This window comes from Homo sapiens, chromosome X (assembly GCF_000001405.40).
Source record: "Homo sapiens chromosome X, GRCh38.p14 Primary Assembly".
Taxonomy (NCBI): Eukaryota; Metazoa; Chordata; class Mammalia; order Primates; family Hominidae; genus Homo; species Homo sapiens.
The window spans coordinates 40864899-40884132 of NC_000023.11; the positions used below are offsets into that span (position 1 = coordinate 40864899).

General features: G+C 42.5%; 3 annotated features.

Annotated features, from left to right (window-relative positions):
- Positions 2186 to 2685: an enhancer, noted in NCBI's record as "H3K27ac hESC enhancer chrX:40726337-40726836 (GRCh37/hg19 assembly coordinates)". NCBI's record gives its function as "activates a minimal SCP1, AML or CMV promoter by ChIP-STARR-seq in naive H9 embryonic stem cells {active_cell/tissue: H9 hESC(naive)}" and the evidence as "EXISTENCE:reporter gene assay evidence [ECO:0000049][PMID:30033119]".
- Positions 6672 to 6751: an enhancer, noted in NCBI's record as "active region_29552". NCBI's record gives its function as "activates an Ori minimal core promoter by ATAC-STARR-seq in GM12878 lymphoblastoid cells {active_cell/tissue: GM12878}" and the evidence as "EXISTENCE:reporter gene assay evidence [ECO:0000049][PMID:35858748]".
- Positions 13496 to 14369: an enhancer, noted in NCBI's record as "OCT4-NANOG-H3K27ac hESC enhancer chrX:40737647-40738520 (GRCh37/hg19 assembly coordinates)". NCBI's record gives its function as "activates a minimal SCP1, AML or CMV promoter by ChIP-STARR-seq in naive and primed H9 embryonic stem cells {active_cell/tissue: H9 hESC(naive and primed)}" and the evidence as "EXISTENCE:reporter gene assay evidence [ECO:0000049][PMID:30033119]".

Here is a 19234-nt window from a genome sequence, read left to right on the forward strand (position 1 = left end):
TATGAAAATATCCATGTCCATATAAATGCTGAGTAGAGGGCATCTACTGCAGAGGAGGCTGTCAATAATTAGGTGGACTAGAGAATCCATCCTTGGATGTCAGTCAGACTCTTCCCCCACTTATCCTGGTGTTTCCTCGATGATCTTATAAACTCAGTGTCAGAGCATCCACAATATAGGCTTCCCTTACAAAGCTCACTGCTAGATGTCTGACTGGCCAGCAGCAGAGGCCAGCTCTGAGTCTTTGATATGGCACCACTCCCAGAGGGGATCAGACACATGAAACAGACATGAATGGAACTTGAAGTCTGGAGTCAGCCTGGTCCAGCTGCACCCAGCCTAAATCAGCTGAATCACAACCAACCCACACACTTGTGGCCAAGAAATAAAATGTTTGCTCTATTAAGCCACTGAGGTTATGGTTCTGTTTGTTATGCAGCAGGAACCTAATATACTCCTTTTATTAATCCTAATTGAATTATCCTAATTTGATTGTACCATCTGTTTTCTTTTGAGATCCTGACTAAATCACTGCCTATTTGCAGATGTCTTAAGGGTATACAGTTGACCCTTGAACAATTCAGGCTTGAAATGAACAACGCAGGTCTATTTATACACAGATTTTCTTGTCTCTGTCACCCTTGAGACAGCAAGACCAACCTCTCCTCTTCCTCCTCTCCTCACCCTACTCAATGTGAAGACAACAAAGACAGAGACTTTTATGATGATCCACTTCTACTTAATGAATAGTAAATATATTTCTCTTCCCTTTAATTTTTTAATATTTTCTTTTCTCTAGCTTACTTTATTGTAAGAATACCATATAATATATATAAAGATATATATATATATATCATACAAAATACGTGTTCATTGACTGTTTATGCTATTTGTGAGGCTTCAGGTCAACAGTAGGCTATGAGTAGCTGAGTTTTTCAGGAGTCATGGATTTTCTACTGTATAGGGGATTGATGTCCCTAACCTCCAAGTTGTTCAAGGGTCAACTGTATGTAGATTTCCAGCTCAGACCTCTTCTCTCAGTCCCAGATCCAAATGTAGTCAGTGATCTGCTTGATATCACCTCTTGGATATCACAAAAGCACCCAAAACTCAACACTCAATCTTCTGTCACAAACCTGGTCCTATTTCACTTGATAGTACCAACAATTGAAGAAACCTGTGAACTGTCCTTGACTTCCACCTCCCTGTCACCCCTATATTTAAGCCATCACCAAGTCCTATTAATTTAACCTCCTAAATGTCTCTCATATTTGTTCTCTTCTTTTTTCCACCACCACCAGCCCCACCTCAGCCCAAGCCACCAGTATCTCTCACTTAAAATATCCTCCCAATTGGCCCCTTTCCAGTTTGTTCGCCACACAGAGGTCAAAGATATCTTTGTGAAAATTCAGTTTTGATTATGTCCCATCCCTCAGTTGAAGCTTCTCAATGGCTTCCCATTGCTTTTAGGATAAAGACCAGAATATTTAACATAGGCTTCAAGGTTCTAAGTGATATGGCCCCTGCTCCCCTGCTTCATCTCCCCATCTCTACTTTGGCCACATGGCCTCTTTCTGCCCTTCAAATTTGCTATGCTCCATCTTACCACTCACTGTTACCTCTCCCCTAAAGCTCTCTCCCCCTTCTTTGCTGTGTTAATGCCTGCTCCTGCTTCACATGTCAGCCTAAGCCTTACCTCTTTGAGGTAACCCTTCCTGACCTCCCTAAATCTGCCTCATAGCATTATGTATTTTACATTTGTTTGTGTGATTGCTTTTAATATTGGTCACCCCCTACTCCTATCCACTATAATGTAATCTTCAAGAGGGCAGAGGCATGTTTGGTTTTGATCATCGCTGTATTTGCAGTGCCCAGCCAAGAGTCTGGCACACTGTAGGCACTTGGCCCCTATTTGTTAAACTAATAACTTGATAAATCAGGGGTTGGGCTAGAACATCTCTAGGGTTCATGTTAGCGCTAACTTTCAGGGCTTCCTTTTCAGATCCTTCTTGTAGATCAGAGGGGTGATGGGGAAAGCAGCCAACTGTGGTAAATTAACAGCTTCCACACAGTCAAAGCTGTTGGTTAGAACTCAAAGGAGCCCTTTTCCTACTTCAAAGATACTGCATGGCAGGCACCAGCATTGACCGGCCAGATAGTTTTCAAGGAATGCTTGATACAGGCCAGCAAACTAAGTGCCAGAAATCCTGGGACAGAGACTTTTGCCAAGAGATTCCCTGCTCTGGTGAGCTGAGCTGAGCTGAGAGATGGCTCTAAATGTCACTGATTAATCATGAAGGGTGCTTCTCAGCCATTCCAACACTCTGCTTTTGCTCCTTTTCAGGTCTTCACCCTTCGGCCCCTTCTAGAAAAACCCCAAGTGACTGCTGTCTAGAAATATCCTCAGATAATTGGCTTGGCTGATGCCCAGATGTCCCTTGTCTTATATTAAGGTGTTGGGGAAGGAGGCAGGGACAAGTTACTCTTCTAGCTCTTGCATTGTATGATTCTGTTATTCTAAATTTTGAGAATTTTTTTCCCTTTTAAAGAGTGAATTAATTCTATTTTGACAGCATGACTTGGATCCCATCCAGGGAAAAGAGGTAGGAAGTTCCAGGGATGTGAGTCATCTATCCACCGGGGCTGGAGGCAGTTCTTCTGTTCTTATCCCATGACAAGGACAAACTCTCTGTCAAGGTCAGATCATGTTCTGAATCCATACTCACCAGGCAGCCTGCCATTTCCAATGGCAGCTTCTCCTGGGGCTCAGGAAGGAGGGCTTAGGTGAGGCACCTGGACAATTTGGTCCTTAGAAAAGGGTGTTCCTCTGACTGTGAGTTAAGAATCTAATATCCTGTGTGAGGTGGGAAAAAGAAGTGAGTGCATGGCTGGGTCCTGAGTTTGGGTGGTAGAAAAGGTCTGTTTATAAGATGGAATACTATACAGCAGTATTGACATGGATGCCCTAGAGCCACATTAGCAACATGGACTAATTTTTTTAAGCTTTATTTTATTAATTGACACCAAAAACTGTACATATTTATGGGATACAATGTGATATTTGAATACATATATACATTGTATAATGATCAAGTCAGGGCAATTAGCAAATCCATCACCTTAAACATTTATCATTTCTTTGTGGTGAGAACATTCAAAGTCCTCTTTTCTAGGAAATTTGAAATATACAAAATATTGTTAACTATAGTCACCCTACTGTGCCATAGAACACCAGAACTTATTCCTATCTAACTGTAACTTTGTCCCCATTGACCAACCTCTTTCCATACCCCATCTCCCCACCCTCCCCAGCCTCTTGTAACCACTACTACTGTCTACTTCTATGAGATCAACTTTTTTAGATTCTGCCTATGAGTGAGATCATGCAGTATTTATCTTTCTGTGCCTGGCTCATTTAACATAATATCCTCTAGGTTCATCCATGTTGTTGCAAATGACAGAACTTTATTCTTTTTTACAGCTGAATAGTATTCCATTATGTATATATACAATATTTTCTTTATCCATAGTATTCCATTGTATATATTTTATTTTTATTTATTTGAGACAGAGTCTTGTTCTGTCATCCAGGCTGGAGTGCAGTGGTGCGATCTCAGCTCACTGCAACCGTTGCCTCCCAGCTTCAAGCAATTCTCCTGCCTCAGCCTACTGAGTAGCTGGGATTACAGGTGCCCGCCACCATGCCCAGCTAATATATATATATATTTTTTTGTAAAGACAGGGTTTCACCATGTTGGCCAGGCTGGTCTGGAACTCCTGACCTCAAGTGATCCACCCTCCTCAGCCTCCCAAAGTGCTGAGATTACAGGTGTGAGCCACCACGCCTGGCCCCATCATGTATATATACAACATTTTCTTTATCCATTCATCCACTGATGAACACAGGTTGACTCCATATCTTGGGTATTATGAATACTGCTGCAATAAACATGGGAGTACAGATAACTCTTCAACATGCCAATTTCATGTCCTTTGGATATATAACCAGTAGTGGGATTGCTGGATCATATGGTAGTTCTATTTTTAATTTTTTGAGGAACCTCCAATACTGTTTTCCATAATGACTGTACTAATTTACATTCTCACCAACAGTATGTAAGGGTTCCCGTTTCTCCACATCCTTGCCAACACTTATTATCTTCTGTCTTTTTAGTAACAGCCATTCTAACTAGTATGAGATGATATCTCACTGGTTTTGATTTGCATTTCCCTGATGATTAGTGATGCTGAGTATTTTTTCGTATACCTGTTGGCGATTTGTATGTCTTCTTTTGAGAAATGTCTATCCAGGCCTTTTACCCACTTTTTAATCAGATGGGGTTTTTTTTGGCTATTGAATTGAGTTCCTTCCATATTCTGGATATTAACCCCCTTGTCAGATGCATAGTTTGCAAATATTTTCTCCCATTTTGTAAGTTGTCTCTTCATTCTGTTGTTTCCTTTGCTGTACAGAAACTTTTTAATTTGATATAATCTTACTTGTCTATTTTTGCTTTAGTTGCCTGTGCTTTTGAGATTCTATCAAAAAAAATCCCTGCCCAGACCCACACCCTGAACCATTTCCCCTGCTTTCTTCTATCAGTTTCATAGTTTTGGGTCTTACATTTAAGTTTTTAATCAATTTTGAATTGATTTTTGTATATGGTGAGAGATAGGGTTCTAGTTTCATTCTTCTGCATGTGAATATCTAATTTTCCTAGCACTATTTATTGAGAAGACTGTCCTTTTCCCAATGTGTGTTATTAGCAACTTTGTTGAAAATCAGTTGGCTGTAGATGTGTGGATTGATTTCTGGGCTTTCTATTCTGTTTCAGTGGTCTATGTGTCTGTTTTTATGCCAGGACCATGCTGTATGCTGTTTTGGTTACTATAGCTTTGTAGTATATTTCCAAGCAAGATAGACTAATTTTTAAAACATAATGTTAGAAAGGAAGAACAAGTGACAGGACACATAGAAAGTGCTACCATTAGGCTGGGCATGGTGGCTCATACCTGTAATCCCAGCACTTTGGGAGGCTGAGGCAGGAGGATTGCTTGAACCCAGGAGTTTGAGACCAGCCTGGGCAACAAAGTGAGACCCTATCTCTATAAAAAGTTTTTAAAAAGTTAGCTGGGCATGGTGGTGTGCACTTGTGGTCCCAGCTGCATGGGAGGTTGAGACAGGAGGATTGCTTGAGCTCAGGAGGTCAAGGCTGCAGTGAGTCATGTTTGTGCCACTGCACTCCAGCCTAGGTAACAGAATGAGACCCTGTCTCAAAAAAAAAAAAAAAGTGCTACCACTTATAAAATGTTAAAATATGCAAAAATATCAAATCATTTAGGATAAACATATATCCCTAATGATTTATAATAGGATATAATGTCTATAGATTTATAATATACGTATATGTGATCTACATGTAATAAAATAATAAAAATACACATGGAAATGATAATACCAAACTTGTAGCTGTTTTGGGGTAGAGAATGAAAGTGAGACTTGGTACAACAGAGGGCTCAACTATATCTGAAATGGGTTTTTTTTTTTTTTTTTTTTCCTTTTGGAGACGGAGTTTTGCTCTTGTTGCCCAGGCTGGAGTGCAATGGCGCGATCTCGGCTCACCACAACCTCCGCCTCCTGGGTTCAAGCGATTCTCCTGCCTCAGCCTCCCGAGTAGCTGGGATTACAGGCATGCGCCACTACGCCTGGCTAATTTTGTATTTTTAATAGAGATGGGGTTTCTCCATGTTGGTCAGGCTGGTCTCGAACTCCGGACCTCAGGTGATCTGCCTGCCCCAGCCTCCCAAAGTGTTGGGATTACAGGCGTGAGCCACCGCAGCCGGCCCTGAAATGTTTTCTATCTTCAGCTGGATGTTTGTTACATTGTTCTGTATACTTTTTGTATATCTGAAGTATGGTTTTTAAAATAATTTCAACTTTTATTTTAGATTCAGGAGGTACATGTGCAGATTTGTTACATGGGTATATTGTGTGACACTGAGGTTTGGGGTACTAATCATCCTGTCCCCCAGGCACTGAGCATAGTACACAATAGGTAGTTTTTCAGCCCTTGTCCCCCTTTTCCCCTCCCCCTTCTAGTAGTCCCCAGTGTCTATTGTTCCCATCTTTATGTCCTTATGTACCCAATGTTTAGCTATCACTTATAAGCAAGAACATGTGGTATCTGGTTTTCTGTTCCTGTGTTCATTTGCTTAGGATAATGGCCTCTAGCTCCATCCATGTTGCTGCAAAGGACATTATTTCATTATTTTTTATGGCTGTGTAGTATTCCATTGTGTATATGTACTACATTTTCTTTATCCAGTCCACCATTGATGGGCATCTAGGTTGATTCTATACCTTTGCTATTGTGAATAGTGCTGCGATGAACATACAGGTCCATGTATCTTTTTTTTATAGAATGATTTATTTTCATGATTTTTTTTTAAGTGGAAAGAAAGGTTAAGTTTCAGTAGGCTTGAGTGAATGTTAAAGCATCAACTTGTGTATTCACTGGGACAGTCCCTCAATTATGACTGTACAAGTTGCTGATGTCCCATGAGCAAAATTACCTCTGTGTCCAGGGACTTTCCTCCTGATTGCAGCTGAAGCTATAAATATTCTCACCTCTACCCCTGCATCATTGCTGGGCCCACCCCTGCTCCTTTTCCCTTCGTCTTTCTGTCACTGCTGGGAAGCCCCTGCCTTTGCTCAGACTTCTGGATGCCTTCCAACTCATTTTCCTGTCCTGCACACTCCAATCCCCCATGGTGTAGGAATCCCCACTTCTGACAGTAGAGCACAGTAGGGAGGAGAGAAGGTGAGCTGAGTTTCTGTTCTCACAAGAAAACTTAGAGTGGATTTTCACCAGGAAATAACACTCTACCAAGTAACTGGTTCTTGACCATCATTAATACTAGCGTCTCATTTCCTGTGGGTGGCGTGGGCTCTGGTGGTGTGCTTAGGAACCAGTCATTCATATAGAACTGAAGAAAATCTGTTCTGAATTCTAAGACAGATTTTCCAACAAACTTTTGGATCAATACCAAGTTTTAAGTTGTCAGTTCCCTATAAAGCCCTAGGGGTGCCTAGCTTAGCTAAAGGGAAAGAATTCAAGGTTTCTGTGGGTGAAGTAAGACAGGGAACTTCAGGGGAACTCCAGAAAGAATTTCCTGGGAAATAAAATTGCATCACGGCTCACCTGCCTGAGCTGCTTAGAGTGTTCATGCTTCTACTAAAGAAGCCTTCTTCTCTCTGCAGCCCCACATTTTAAATACGAACAGTATAATAACAAACTCCACCAAGAAGAGCTGATCATTCACCACACAATGTGATTTCTAATTGCTTGAATAATACCGTATGATGGAATAATTTCCTACCCAGTAAAAATGATTTCTTTTTTTTTCAGAGTGATAATATCCTGTTAAAATATAATGCCATTCTAGACAGTGACTACACAATGGAGTGGTTTTTTTTTTTTCCTATATATAACCTTTAAATGCTAAGCATTAGGATCAAGGCAGTAGCAAGTGATAAAACAAGTTCCCAGATGAAGAAAAGAATTCTTTGGGTCTATGTTGGAATCTAATTACCCAACATCCTTGGGTAAAATAGTGAGTTGACAAATTTATGATACATAGATGGTCTTTGCTCTGTTTCTTCAGAGAAACTCAGTTGCACAAGAATGGAAATGGATTTTTCCATAAAGCTGGTGTGCAGTATAACATCTATATTTGGACAGGCACACACACACCATGTTGCTAATTTTAATGCGCCAATTAAATCCTCATTTTGTGCATCACTGAACCCATAAAAGCAGATTTTTTTTCTTTAGAAAATGAAATTGCAAGACATTTGTTGTCTAGTGACCTACTGTGCCAATAGGTATGTAGAGCATGAGGTGCTCTCTAGGAATACAGAGGAAAGTGAAGACGTGCTTTCCGTTCGTGAGGCATTTAGAACGCAGTCAATTACAAGTTCAGAGCAGAAAGCAGCCTCATATCAGAAAGATGAGAAAAGTGAGGCCTAGAGAGAAAGAATGACCTTCCAAAAGTCACACAGCCAAGGAGTGAAGTTGGTCAGATGAAAACCAGCTGTCCAGAAATGGAGCTCAAAGGCTAGCCTCTCAACAGCAGCCCTTCACAATACCCATGTGGAGGCAGGGACAATGCTGCGCTAGATTAAAATGTTTCTCTAGGTTGGGCCATGTTCCTGGCATATAGATTCTTCCATGGGGCTCATGGGAGGCTCCTTCGCTGGGCCCCTTTGATTGCAGCTCTGGTGATGCTCACCATACAGTGTTTCTCTAAAATCCACACCCCTTTTGGCTTCTGGTTCTTGGGCTGATGTGAGAGAGTGGGAGTAGAGGCTCGAATCCACACTTTCTTTAAGAAATCCTCTTTGGAAACACTTAAAACTGTTGTAGCTTTTACAGACACCACCCCTATAACTCTGAAGTCCCACTCCTAGATGTATGTGCAAGAGAAATGTGTACATATGTTTACCAAAAGACATGTGCTAAAATATCCGTAGGTATTCATAATAGCCCCCAGTTGGAAACTACCCAGATGTCTATCAACAGTAGAACGGATAAATTGTGGAATGCTCACACAATGGGATGCTATACAGTAGTGAGAATAAACGATCTACAACTACATACAGTATGGATGGCTCTCATAAATAGAATGTTGAGCAATGAAGTGAGCCACTAAGGGGTACACACTGTATGATTCCATTTATATAAAGAACAAAAAGAGGCAAAAATAATCTGTGCTATTAGAGGTCAGGATAGTAGTTACCCTTGGGGGTAGTAGTGACTGAAAGCGGGGTACAGAGACCTTATGGGATGCTAGTAATTAATCTTCTGGTTTTGTTGGGATATTCAGTTTGTGAAAATTCATCAAGCTATAAACCTGTTGTTTGTGCACATTTTAATATGTATCTTATATTTCCAAAAAGATTAACAAAAGAAGACTCCAACCTTTTTTTCTTTTTTTTTTCAAGAGTGGGTCTCACTCTGTCACCCAGGCTGGGGTGCAATGGTGCAATCTCATCTCACTGCAGCCTCCACCTCCTGGGCTCAAGCAATCCTCCCACATCAGTCTCCCAAGTAGCTGGGACCACAGGCGTGTACCACCATGCCCAGCTAATTTTTTTTTACTTTTTTTTTTTTTTTTGAGGCAGAGTCTCGCTCTTGCCCAGGCTGGTATGTAGTGGTGCAATCTCGGCTCACCAAAACCTCCGCCTCCCAGGTTCAAGCGATTCTCCTGCCTCAGCCTCCCAAGTAGCTGGGATTACAGGTGCCTGCCACCATGCCCGGCTAATTTTTGTATTTTTAGTAGAGATGGGGTTTCACTATGTTGGCCAGGCCGGTCTCAAACTCCTGACCTCGTGATCCACCCGCCTCGGCCTCCCAAAGTTCTGGGATTACAGGCGTGAACCACTGCGCTCAGCCGATTTTTTTTACTTTTGTAGAGATAGGATCTCACTATGTTGCCCAGGCTGGTCTCAAACAATCCTCCCATCTCAGTCTCCCAAAGTTCTGGGATTACAGGTGTAAGCTGCCATGCCTAGCGTCCAGCCTCTTTTTCCCCCATGGCTCCCACATGCAGAGGTGCAGCCCGCTATCACAGGCTGTCTTAATTCAGGCTCTGATCCTAGCTCCCCAACCACAGAGAACACACAGTTACCTCTTCAAGGGTCCCTTTAAAGTACCATTTCACGGACTTAAGGTTAAAAGGGGGCTCCCCATCACCTCAGGGGTCGGAGAGGGATGCCCACAGCATGGCAGTAGCCTTATCTAAAGAACCTTCTTCACAAATCCTTCTTACTTCTACCCTCTCTTGATGCCTTTGTAGTCAAAATTGTTGAGGGCATTTGAGAGTCTTAGAGCATACCTTTTGTAAAGTCAGCCTCTGTAGATCTGAGCACACTCCTTTTGGATGTCTCTTGTATTGGTGCAAAACAGCATTGGGAAGGTCCATTTTCATATCTTATTACGTAGGTAAATAAGAAATCTATCCATAATAATGGCTTGTCACATTCATGTAGTGCTTGGCCTTTATAAAAGAGAATGCAGATCTATTGCCTTAATATTCACAGCAACCCTACAAGGTAGGTGTTACTCTCGTGTTACAAGTGAGAACATTAAGACTGGTAAAGGAGAGGTGACCTGCCCTGCCTGAGCTTACACAGGCACTACATGAAGACAGGGATAGCCCAAGCCAGGGCTTGTGACTCCAGATTTATTCTCCCCCTCCCCCACCTCCACCAAGGGTAGGCCAAGGTGGAGATGTACCAAGGCAGAGAAAGAAGAGCCTGGGAAACTTCTGCTTGCTGTTCTGGGATGTGAGCTTTGGAAGATACCAGAATGGGTTTGAATGGCAAATCTACTACCTATCAAGTGCATGATTTGGAGTTAGGTTATTTCACCTCTCTGGACCTTAGATGATAACATCTACTTCTTATGGTTCTTGTGAACATGACATCCAATAGCCATGTGAAATGCCTTTTAAAGCATAAGGCTTTAAAAGGATATTGGTTTTCTTCTCCCTTTGAACAAAGCCTAAGGAAGTCTAAGGAAGAGTAGGTGGGGAAGGACAGTAAGCCAAGTGAAGGGTGGAGGGTTCTGAGTAGCTGATAAGGATCATGGTGGCACATTGGACAGAGTGAAACATGGACCTTTATCAAGTCAAGGCAGTTTATTCCTCCACTACACAGACTGTTTAGTCTGTTTAGTATTTGGAAAGAACAATTTAACCTCAGCTGCAAGACTAGGCTAGAGTCCAGGTTCTAGTATCTAGTAGCCAGCTGTCTAGAAATAAGGGAGGAAGGTAAATTGAAAGAACTTAAAACCACGGGTAGGGCTTTCCATGTCAAAAGTTGGAAATTATTCTATGAAAGAATCAGGAAAACTGGTCATGCCGAGGGATTCTCCCTACCTTTACCTCTTTTTAAGTGTTTCCAGCACGTTTTTGTGTGTGTATTTTCAGTAGTTCAAAATGATGAAGTCTAGCAGACACTATTGGTTACCTCCCCAAATCATTTCACCTTGCAGAAACACCTGGCCATGTGCTCAGGGAAGGTACTCCCCCAACACCCAATTCCCAGACACTTAGGGTGATTTCATTCCTCTAGTCTTTGATCAGTTTAAGCATGGGCATGTGATCTAAACTTGGTTAATGAATCTGATGGGGGAATCTTGGGAAAGTTTTGCTCACTCTTAGAAAGGGACACAAGACTGGAAACATTCCTCCCTTTTTTGCTCCCCCTCTCAATGCTATTTTGTGAGAATGTGACGCCTGGAGCTACTGAAGCCATCTTGTGATCATGAAGCACAAAACCCACCATACTGAAGATAGGGAAACAGTAAGAGAAATATCACGTAAGTCCTTGATAATGTACCACTGAATTAGGCAACTCTGGTATCACCTACATCTAGACATATATAAGTTACTAAATGCCATGATTGTTAAGCCAATTTTAGAGAAGTATTCTGTTTACAGCCAGAAGCAAACGTTTTGCGTAACCAAAATAGCAAACATTTTTGTACTATATTGTTCCTTTTTACACTATTAATGCTCATTTATTAGATGATGTAATTAAACCTACCAATAGAGGAGAGAGAACACAGGGTTCTACTGTAGGAAGAGACAAAGGAGGTCTTAGAAATGGAGTGAAAAGGTGGCCAAAAAAGGATGAGAAGATGGAAGGAATTCCCTTCACCAGATTGGAAGAAGAGCTAAAAGTAAGCTATAGCCCCGACACGGTGGCTCACGCCTGTAATCCCAGCACTTTGGGAGGCCGAGGCGAGTGGATCGCTTGAGCCCAGAGTTTGAGACCAGCCTGGCCAACATGGTGAAACCCCGTCTCTACTAAAAATACAAAAAATTAGCAGGGCATGGTGGTGGGTGCCTGTAATCCCAGCTACTTGGGAGGCTGAGACAGGAGAATTGCTTGAACCCGTGAAGCGGAGGTTGCAGTGAGCCGAAATTGAGCCACTGCACTCCAGCCTGGGCGACAGAGTGACACTGTCTCAAAAAAAAAAAAAGAAAAGAAAAACAAAAAACATGAAACATATCATTTGCCCATTTTCCATTGTAATAAATGTTTTAGTTCAAAAATAAAAAGAGAATCACTCGAGAAGTGCAGGCACAAACTTTGGTTTGGTCTCTCGTATTTGTTTGGTAGTTACCTTAGACAATTGATTTCTGCTGGCTCAGCCATGGCTAACTACAAACTAGCACTAAGGGTTTATCAGGATGATGGGTTTAAATCTTGCTTTGCCACCTTTAATGGTTTGACCTAGGGCAAGTTCTTTAGCTCTCTGTGCCTCTGTTTTCCCGTCTAAAATGGGGATAATAATGATACTTATAGAGTTGTGATAAGACTAAAATGAGAAGGTCTGTGTTCAGAATGCCTGGCACATAGTACTGAGTAAATGTTAGCCCTTATTGTTGTAATTGTTATTACAGTTTCCATGCTATCTAATCCTTTTAATGCAAATGTGCAAATAACTTAATATGCATATCATATTAAAGGGACCTTTAAAACAATGAGGCCGGGCGCAGTGGCTCACGCCTGTAATCCCAGCACTTTGGGAGGCCGAGGCAGGCAGATCACCTGAGGTCAGGAGCTCAAGACCAGCCTGGCCAACTTAGTGAAATCCCATCTCTACTAAAAATACAAAAATTAGCCAGTGTGATGGCATGTGCCTATAGTCCCAGCTACTCGGGAGGCTGAGGCAGGAGAATCACTTCAACCTGGGAGGCGGAGGTTGCAGTGAGCGGAGACGGTGCCACTGCATTCCAGCCTGAGCAACAGAGCAAGACTCCATCTCAAAAATAAATAAATAAATAAAACAATATGAAATGAGTTTGCCAGTGACTATTTACAAAAGCAGAAATCTAAGTGCTAAAGTTTGTTGAATTGAGTGGAAGGAAAATAAAGGCCCATAGTTATGGTATTAAGTAGACCTCAATTAAATTGATATTGCTGTCATTTGTATGTTATAACCATGATTCAAATACTGGGGAAAGAATTATATTTCATGTAAAAAGCTTTTACAGATGTTAAGATGTAGAGTCTATCCTCTAGGCTTAAAATAGCTTCTTTCATAATTTTTTAAACATATGCATTTTCATTCAGGACAGCAGGGGGCAGCTTTATTAGCAATGTTGATCAGTTAAACAGTAAGTTATCGTAAACATCTTGTACTGCACATTTTACCCTAATCGGGTGGAGTCAACAAATATGTAAGTGATATCTCTGTTTATATATTGTCAATAGTATTTATTTGCTTAATAAAGCTCCCGATGTGGCTGGTAATTGGAAACGCTGACTGAGTCAGTTTTCTTTGTACAAAATGCAAGACTTAATGCAATTTTATCATAACCCTGAGTCACAAAACCCGTTTTAAGCAAATTAATGGCCACCGATGGAAATAATCAAAGAGTGCCAACAAAAATTTCAATTAGTCATTTCACCAATATTCCCCCATCTTACACTTAGTCCTTTATCTTGCTATATCATCACAGTTTTTACAATTCAAAATGGGGTCTTTTATTTGACATTATTGGTGTTGATTGGTGGTATATTATGACACATTTTTAAAATCGCAAAATGGCCGAAGTTTCATTACATTTTAATTAGCATAATCAGCACAATATAAAACACAGTGCTAGGATTTCTACTCTCCAGTGTTCAGAAAAGCAGCTTAGTAAGTTAAGAGAGTGTATGTGGAAAGACAATTTAAAATACATTTTTGTCTTTATTATGTTCTCTGAAAATATAATTTATAAAATCTAATTTTCTAGTTAGCTCAGATTTGCAACTGGCAAGAATTAGGATCCCTTTAAAATCAGGTAACAGATGTGTCTAAGTTTGAGTGCAGATGACTCAGAAAGGCAAAGCTGAGCTCTTTTTAAGCTAATATTTTTTAGGTAGACATTTGGAGGCTTTTTTCTCTCTTGAATAAAAGGGAGGAAAAAGGCTCTGATGCCTGGTAAAGTTGAGAAATCTCTGAGTGGTCTTTATGATCCTGGAAGTGCTTTGCCTCTGTTAAAAGATTTAGTGTGAGTTCAAATACGCATTCTTGTCAAGCCTGGAGAGCTGGTGATTAGGAACCATTACAACTCAGTGACTCTTTCTATTTACATGTAGATGTTTCTATTCTTCGAAACATTCTCAGATTTTCTGTGGTCTTCATTTAAATCTTACTTTGGATTCCTTCAGAAGCTGACTGTGAGACAAGGGCTCGAGTACAAATAGTTTATTTGGGAGGTGTATTAGTCTGTTCTCACGCTGCTAATAAAGACATACCCAAGACTGGGTAATTTATAAAGAAAAGAGGTTTAATTGACCCACAGTTCCACATGGCTGGGGGGGCCTCACAATCGTGACGGAAGGCGAATGAGGAGCAAAGTCACATCTTACATTGTGGCAGGCAAGAGAGTTTGAACAGAGGAACTCCCATTTATAAAACCATCAGATCTCATGAGACTTACTGCCATGAGAACAGTATGGGGAAAACCGCCCCCATGATTCCATTATCTCCACCTGGCCCCACCTTTGACACGTGGGGTTTATTACAGTTCAAGGTGAGATTTGGGTGGGGACACAGCCAAGCCATATCAGGAGGTGAAGGAAAACACCAGTAGAGGAGTCAGGAAACAAGTCCACGAAGAGAAAGAGTTAAAGGATGGGTTATCCAGCAAGATAGAAGAGTGGCCCACTCTGGGCCTAATCCCACTAAGGAACTATGGGATATGGTATAGAACATGAGCCTCAGAGTCATCCCACATTAGGAGCGAGGGAGCTGGAGTATTTATACACTAACAAGCCATAGTCTTTGGTTGAGGGCTGCTCCTGGGGTTGTCAAATCCTTGACACTTCCAGCTTGTCAGCTCTGGGCCAAGCCCTCAAACAGATACAACAAATGGGGCACACTGAAGTGGTAAAGCCTGAGGGTGTGTGGATAGGACACCAAGAGCATCTGCTATAGGTTACCTCAGAGGATTTCTTTCTTTCTTTCTTTTTTTTTTTTTTTTGAGATGGAGTCTTGCTGTGTTGCCTGGGCTGGAGTGCAGTGGTGCAATCTCGGCTCACTGCAACCTCTGCCTCCCGGGTTCAAGTGATTCTCCTGCATCAGCCTCCTGAGTAGCTGGGATTACAGGCACCCGCCACTACGTCCAGCTAATTTTTTGTATTTTTAGTAGAGATGGGGTTTCACTAAGTTGGCCAGGCTGGTCTCGAACTCCTGACTTCGTGATTCACCCACCTTGGCCTCCCAAAGTGCTGGGATTACAGACGTGAGCCACTGCACCCGGCCACCTCAGAGGAGTTCTATAAGAAGTTAATTATTGCATATAATTTAGAATAATGCATGGCACAGAATAAGGATTAAATGTTAATTCCATTGTTTTGATAACATTGGCCTTCTTTTGTTTTCATGGCCAGAACCTGTGTCTACAAAAAATAAGAAAAGTTAACCAGGCATGCTGGCACCAGGAGTCTCAGCCACTCAGGAGACTGAGGTGGGAGGATTTCTTGAACCCAGGAATTGGAGGCTGCAGTGAGCTATGATCACACACTGCATTCCAGCCTAGGCTGCACTCCAGCAAGACCCTGTCTCAAAAAAATAAAATAACAAAACAAAAAAACTTTTCCCACAACAGCGGGGACCAGTAGTACTATACTACATAGGGAAGGGAGACTAGTCAAGTAATCCTTCAGAATTTTTGTTTTGTTTGAAATCTCTTAGGGGATTTTTCTAGCCCTCTCTAGAGCTTGAAGGGACAAATTTTGATTTTAAAAAAAGAGAGAGGGAAAAAAACCCACATATTTCATCCCCTAATGAGCTCCCCCCTGCAGGGCACTCTATCTGGGTGGATATTTTTATCAGATGCCAGGTAATTCTCGTGCAGCCTGGCCTAGACCCACATTCAGAAAACAATGGCCCCAGGATAAGGGTCCAACCCTCAGGGCAGCGTTCAAAGCCCTCCTATACTCAGCCCCTCCCCACCTCTTTGGCCCCCTCTGCTGGCCCCCCTTGCCTAAAAACATCAGCCCCAGCAACACAACAACCTGCAATGTCTTTTTACCCCTCCCTCTACCTAGCTCATTTCACCTGGCTGACTCCTATTAATTCTTATTCAATGTTTTCCTCCATTTCAGCTCCAAGTTCGGTTACATACCACTCCTCTGGACCCTGCCAATGCCCCATGCATACCTCTGTCATTGCACTTATCTCACTGTGTTAGAATTATCTCTAGGTCTGTGTCCTTTAATAGACTGAGAACCTTGAGAATGGGAACCATATATTAATAGTATTAATCCATGCACCTCCAGTATGGTTGACAGGGTACAGAAAGAAGGAAGCTGGGGAGGGAGGAAAAAAGAGAGGGATGGTGTTAGTTTGGGTCTTCAGAGAAGCAGACCCAAAGATGAGATAAAACACGCAAGAGATTTATTTAAAAAAATGCCTGTGAGAGAAAATGTGGGAGGGAGATGGAAAAGACTGGAAGATCTATCAGACTTCGTTGCAGGTCTGACTTGTGAAGGAGAGAGAAAAGGAAGGAAGGAAGTTTGCATGGAAGCATCGTACACTGCAGTTCAGTCTCAGAAAGGTTTGGCGGCCAGGCGCGGTGGCTCACGCCTGTAATCCCAGCACTTTGGGAGGCTGAGGTGGGCAGATCACTTGAGGCCAGGAGTTCGAAACCAGCCTGGCTAACATGGTAAAACCCTGTCTCTACTAAAAATACAAAAATTAGCCAGGTGTGGTGGTACACGCCTGTAACTCCAGCTACTTGGGAGGCTGAGGCAGGAGAATTGCTTGAACCCAGGAGGCTCAGTGAAACCCAGGAGGTTGCAGTGAGCCAACATTGTGCCACTGCACTCCAGCCTGGGCGACAGCAAGACTCTGTCTCAAAAAACAACAACAACAACAACAACAACAACAAAAAGATTTGGCAGGGCCAGTGGGGAGTCCCTGGGCTAAAGTTGTTGGTCAAAGGAGTTTCCATGTCTCTCAAGAACAGGCCTGCCTCAGTATCCCTGCTGCACTCAATCATTGCCCGGGGGCAGGCTGTAGGAAGCATGGTCTCGGCACCAATGTGATGATGGATTTCAGAGGCTGAAGCTGGGGCCCAAGGTCAATGGCACTTCCAGTGGTTAGAGATTTGAGAGGTGAATTCTCATGGATGCTAAAAAAGGAGGAAAGGAAGGAAGGAGGGTGGGACTAATAAACCCACTTATGGAAAGTCTGACAGTTTGTATGGTAACATGCTCACAGGAAATCTGGCTGTTCGGACGCAGGGTAGGGAAATGCAAAAAGCACAGGAGTCGAGGGGCATCTTGAGTTTGTGACCTGGTTTCATCACTGACTAGCTGTGTGACCCGGGCAACGCCATCACTCTATGTGTCTGTTTCCTGATCTCTAAATTAAGAATATTAATACTTGCCCCATCTATCTCACAGGATTGATGTCCCAACTTGGGGGTCCTGACTTCATCTCATTCGCCACCATATGTAGGAATACAGCTTTGGGGACTCGCTAACATCACCCCATGGATAGCCAGGGTTGCCCCTTGGCTTGTTAGCGTTCTGGGTCTTTGTGGGGAAGTGTCCACACAGAGTGGGCTGGGCAAAGGAGGACACAGCAAGGTTTCCTGGTCTAACTGGCATCACCCCTGCCAGACTTTCAGTAAGCGAGCTTCAGGTACAGATGGGGAAAGGTAGCCATCCGCCAGGCAATTGTCTACTGGCATGCAGATTGTGGGTCAAATGGGGTGGCCCTGGGTGACGGTGATAGAGGATTCCCCTGGAGAGGCAACTCGGCAGGCCAGTGATGAACCAGAATTCAAACCCAGCAAGATCTCTGAGCTCTGGAGCAGTGCCCCCTCAGTAGTTTTTCTCCTGGGCCCTTCACCACAGCTCTTCCAAATGATACCCACCTTTCCCTGCCCCCCAGGGTCACCATTCATTTCCTGCTAGGTATGGGAAAAGCTGCCTATTATACAATGGGATCGACACGAGATAAAAATGTAAACCCAGGCTGACCTTCCCCCCAAGGCTCCTTCTGGTCTTTAACCAGAGGTGTGTATCAGAATCACCTGTGAAGCTTTTCAAATATGAAAATTTCTAGCCCTGACCCTTGACCTACTGAATCAGAATCTCCAGGGAAGGGACCTGGGGATTTTATTTTTAAAAGGCCCCGGATGATTCTAAAATATAACTATGCAGCAGGAAATCACAGCCTCTTGAGGGCTGACCTTATTAACCCAGACCTAAAATGCACCAGAAAAACCCATCGCAGCTGGTCATCCCAAGGCTAAATTTTAGTTCCACACTTGTGATTTACTTAATGGTTTGTTTTGTATACTTCCTAATCTCCCTCTCCAGTGTTCACATTAGGAAATGAATTCAAAAGAGATCCTCAAATAGAAAACGCATCTGACCCCCAACCTCGGTCCCTCCATCTGGTTTGATTAACTAGGAGAAACTCAATGAACTTCCTTCAAAGCATGGCTTTTTACTATTATTGTTCTACTCCTATATTTACATTGGCACAATTAGCTGGCCTGTAAGGACCACCCAAGATGCTGGATGACAGTTTCAGAGATAGTTAGAGCAAAGAAGATTGAATTCATTTAGTACATAGTAAAATAGTCGACACATGCAGACATTTCGATTGTACCGGTTGTTGTGAATTTCTGAGCTCTCCAAGGATAGAGATTCTATTTTGTTGACCTTTTTGTTTCCAGTCTTGTTCAGTCCTTGACACACAGTTGGTACTTAATGTTAGTTAATGAATGAGAATTTAGGACCTGTGACCCAATTCAACGTTGCCTTCTATGATACAACATAATCAACATGGCCTGTGAGAATTTTTCTCGCTCTTTTGCTTTTATTTAGTTGCAGAGGTACTTCATGCACCTTGTAACCAATTGTATTAGTCATGGTTCTCTAGGGGGACAGAATGAATGGAATAGGTATATATCTTATGGGGAGTTTATTAAGTATTAACTCACACGATCAAAAGGTCCCACAATAGGCTGTCTGCAGGCTGAGGAGCAAGGAGAGCCAGTCCGAATTCCAAAACTGAAGAACTTGGAGTCTGATTTTCGAGGGCAGGAAGCACCCAGCATGGGAGAAAGATGTAGGCTGGGAGGCTAGGCCAGTCTCTTTTTTCACATTTTTCTGCCTGCTTATCTTCTAGCCACGCTGGCAGCTGAT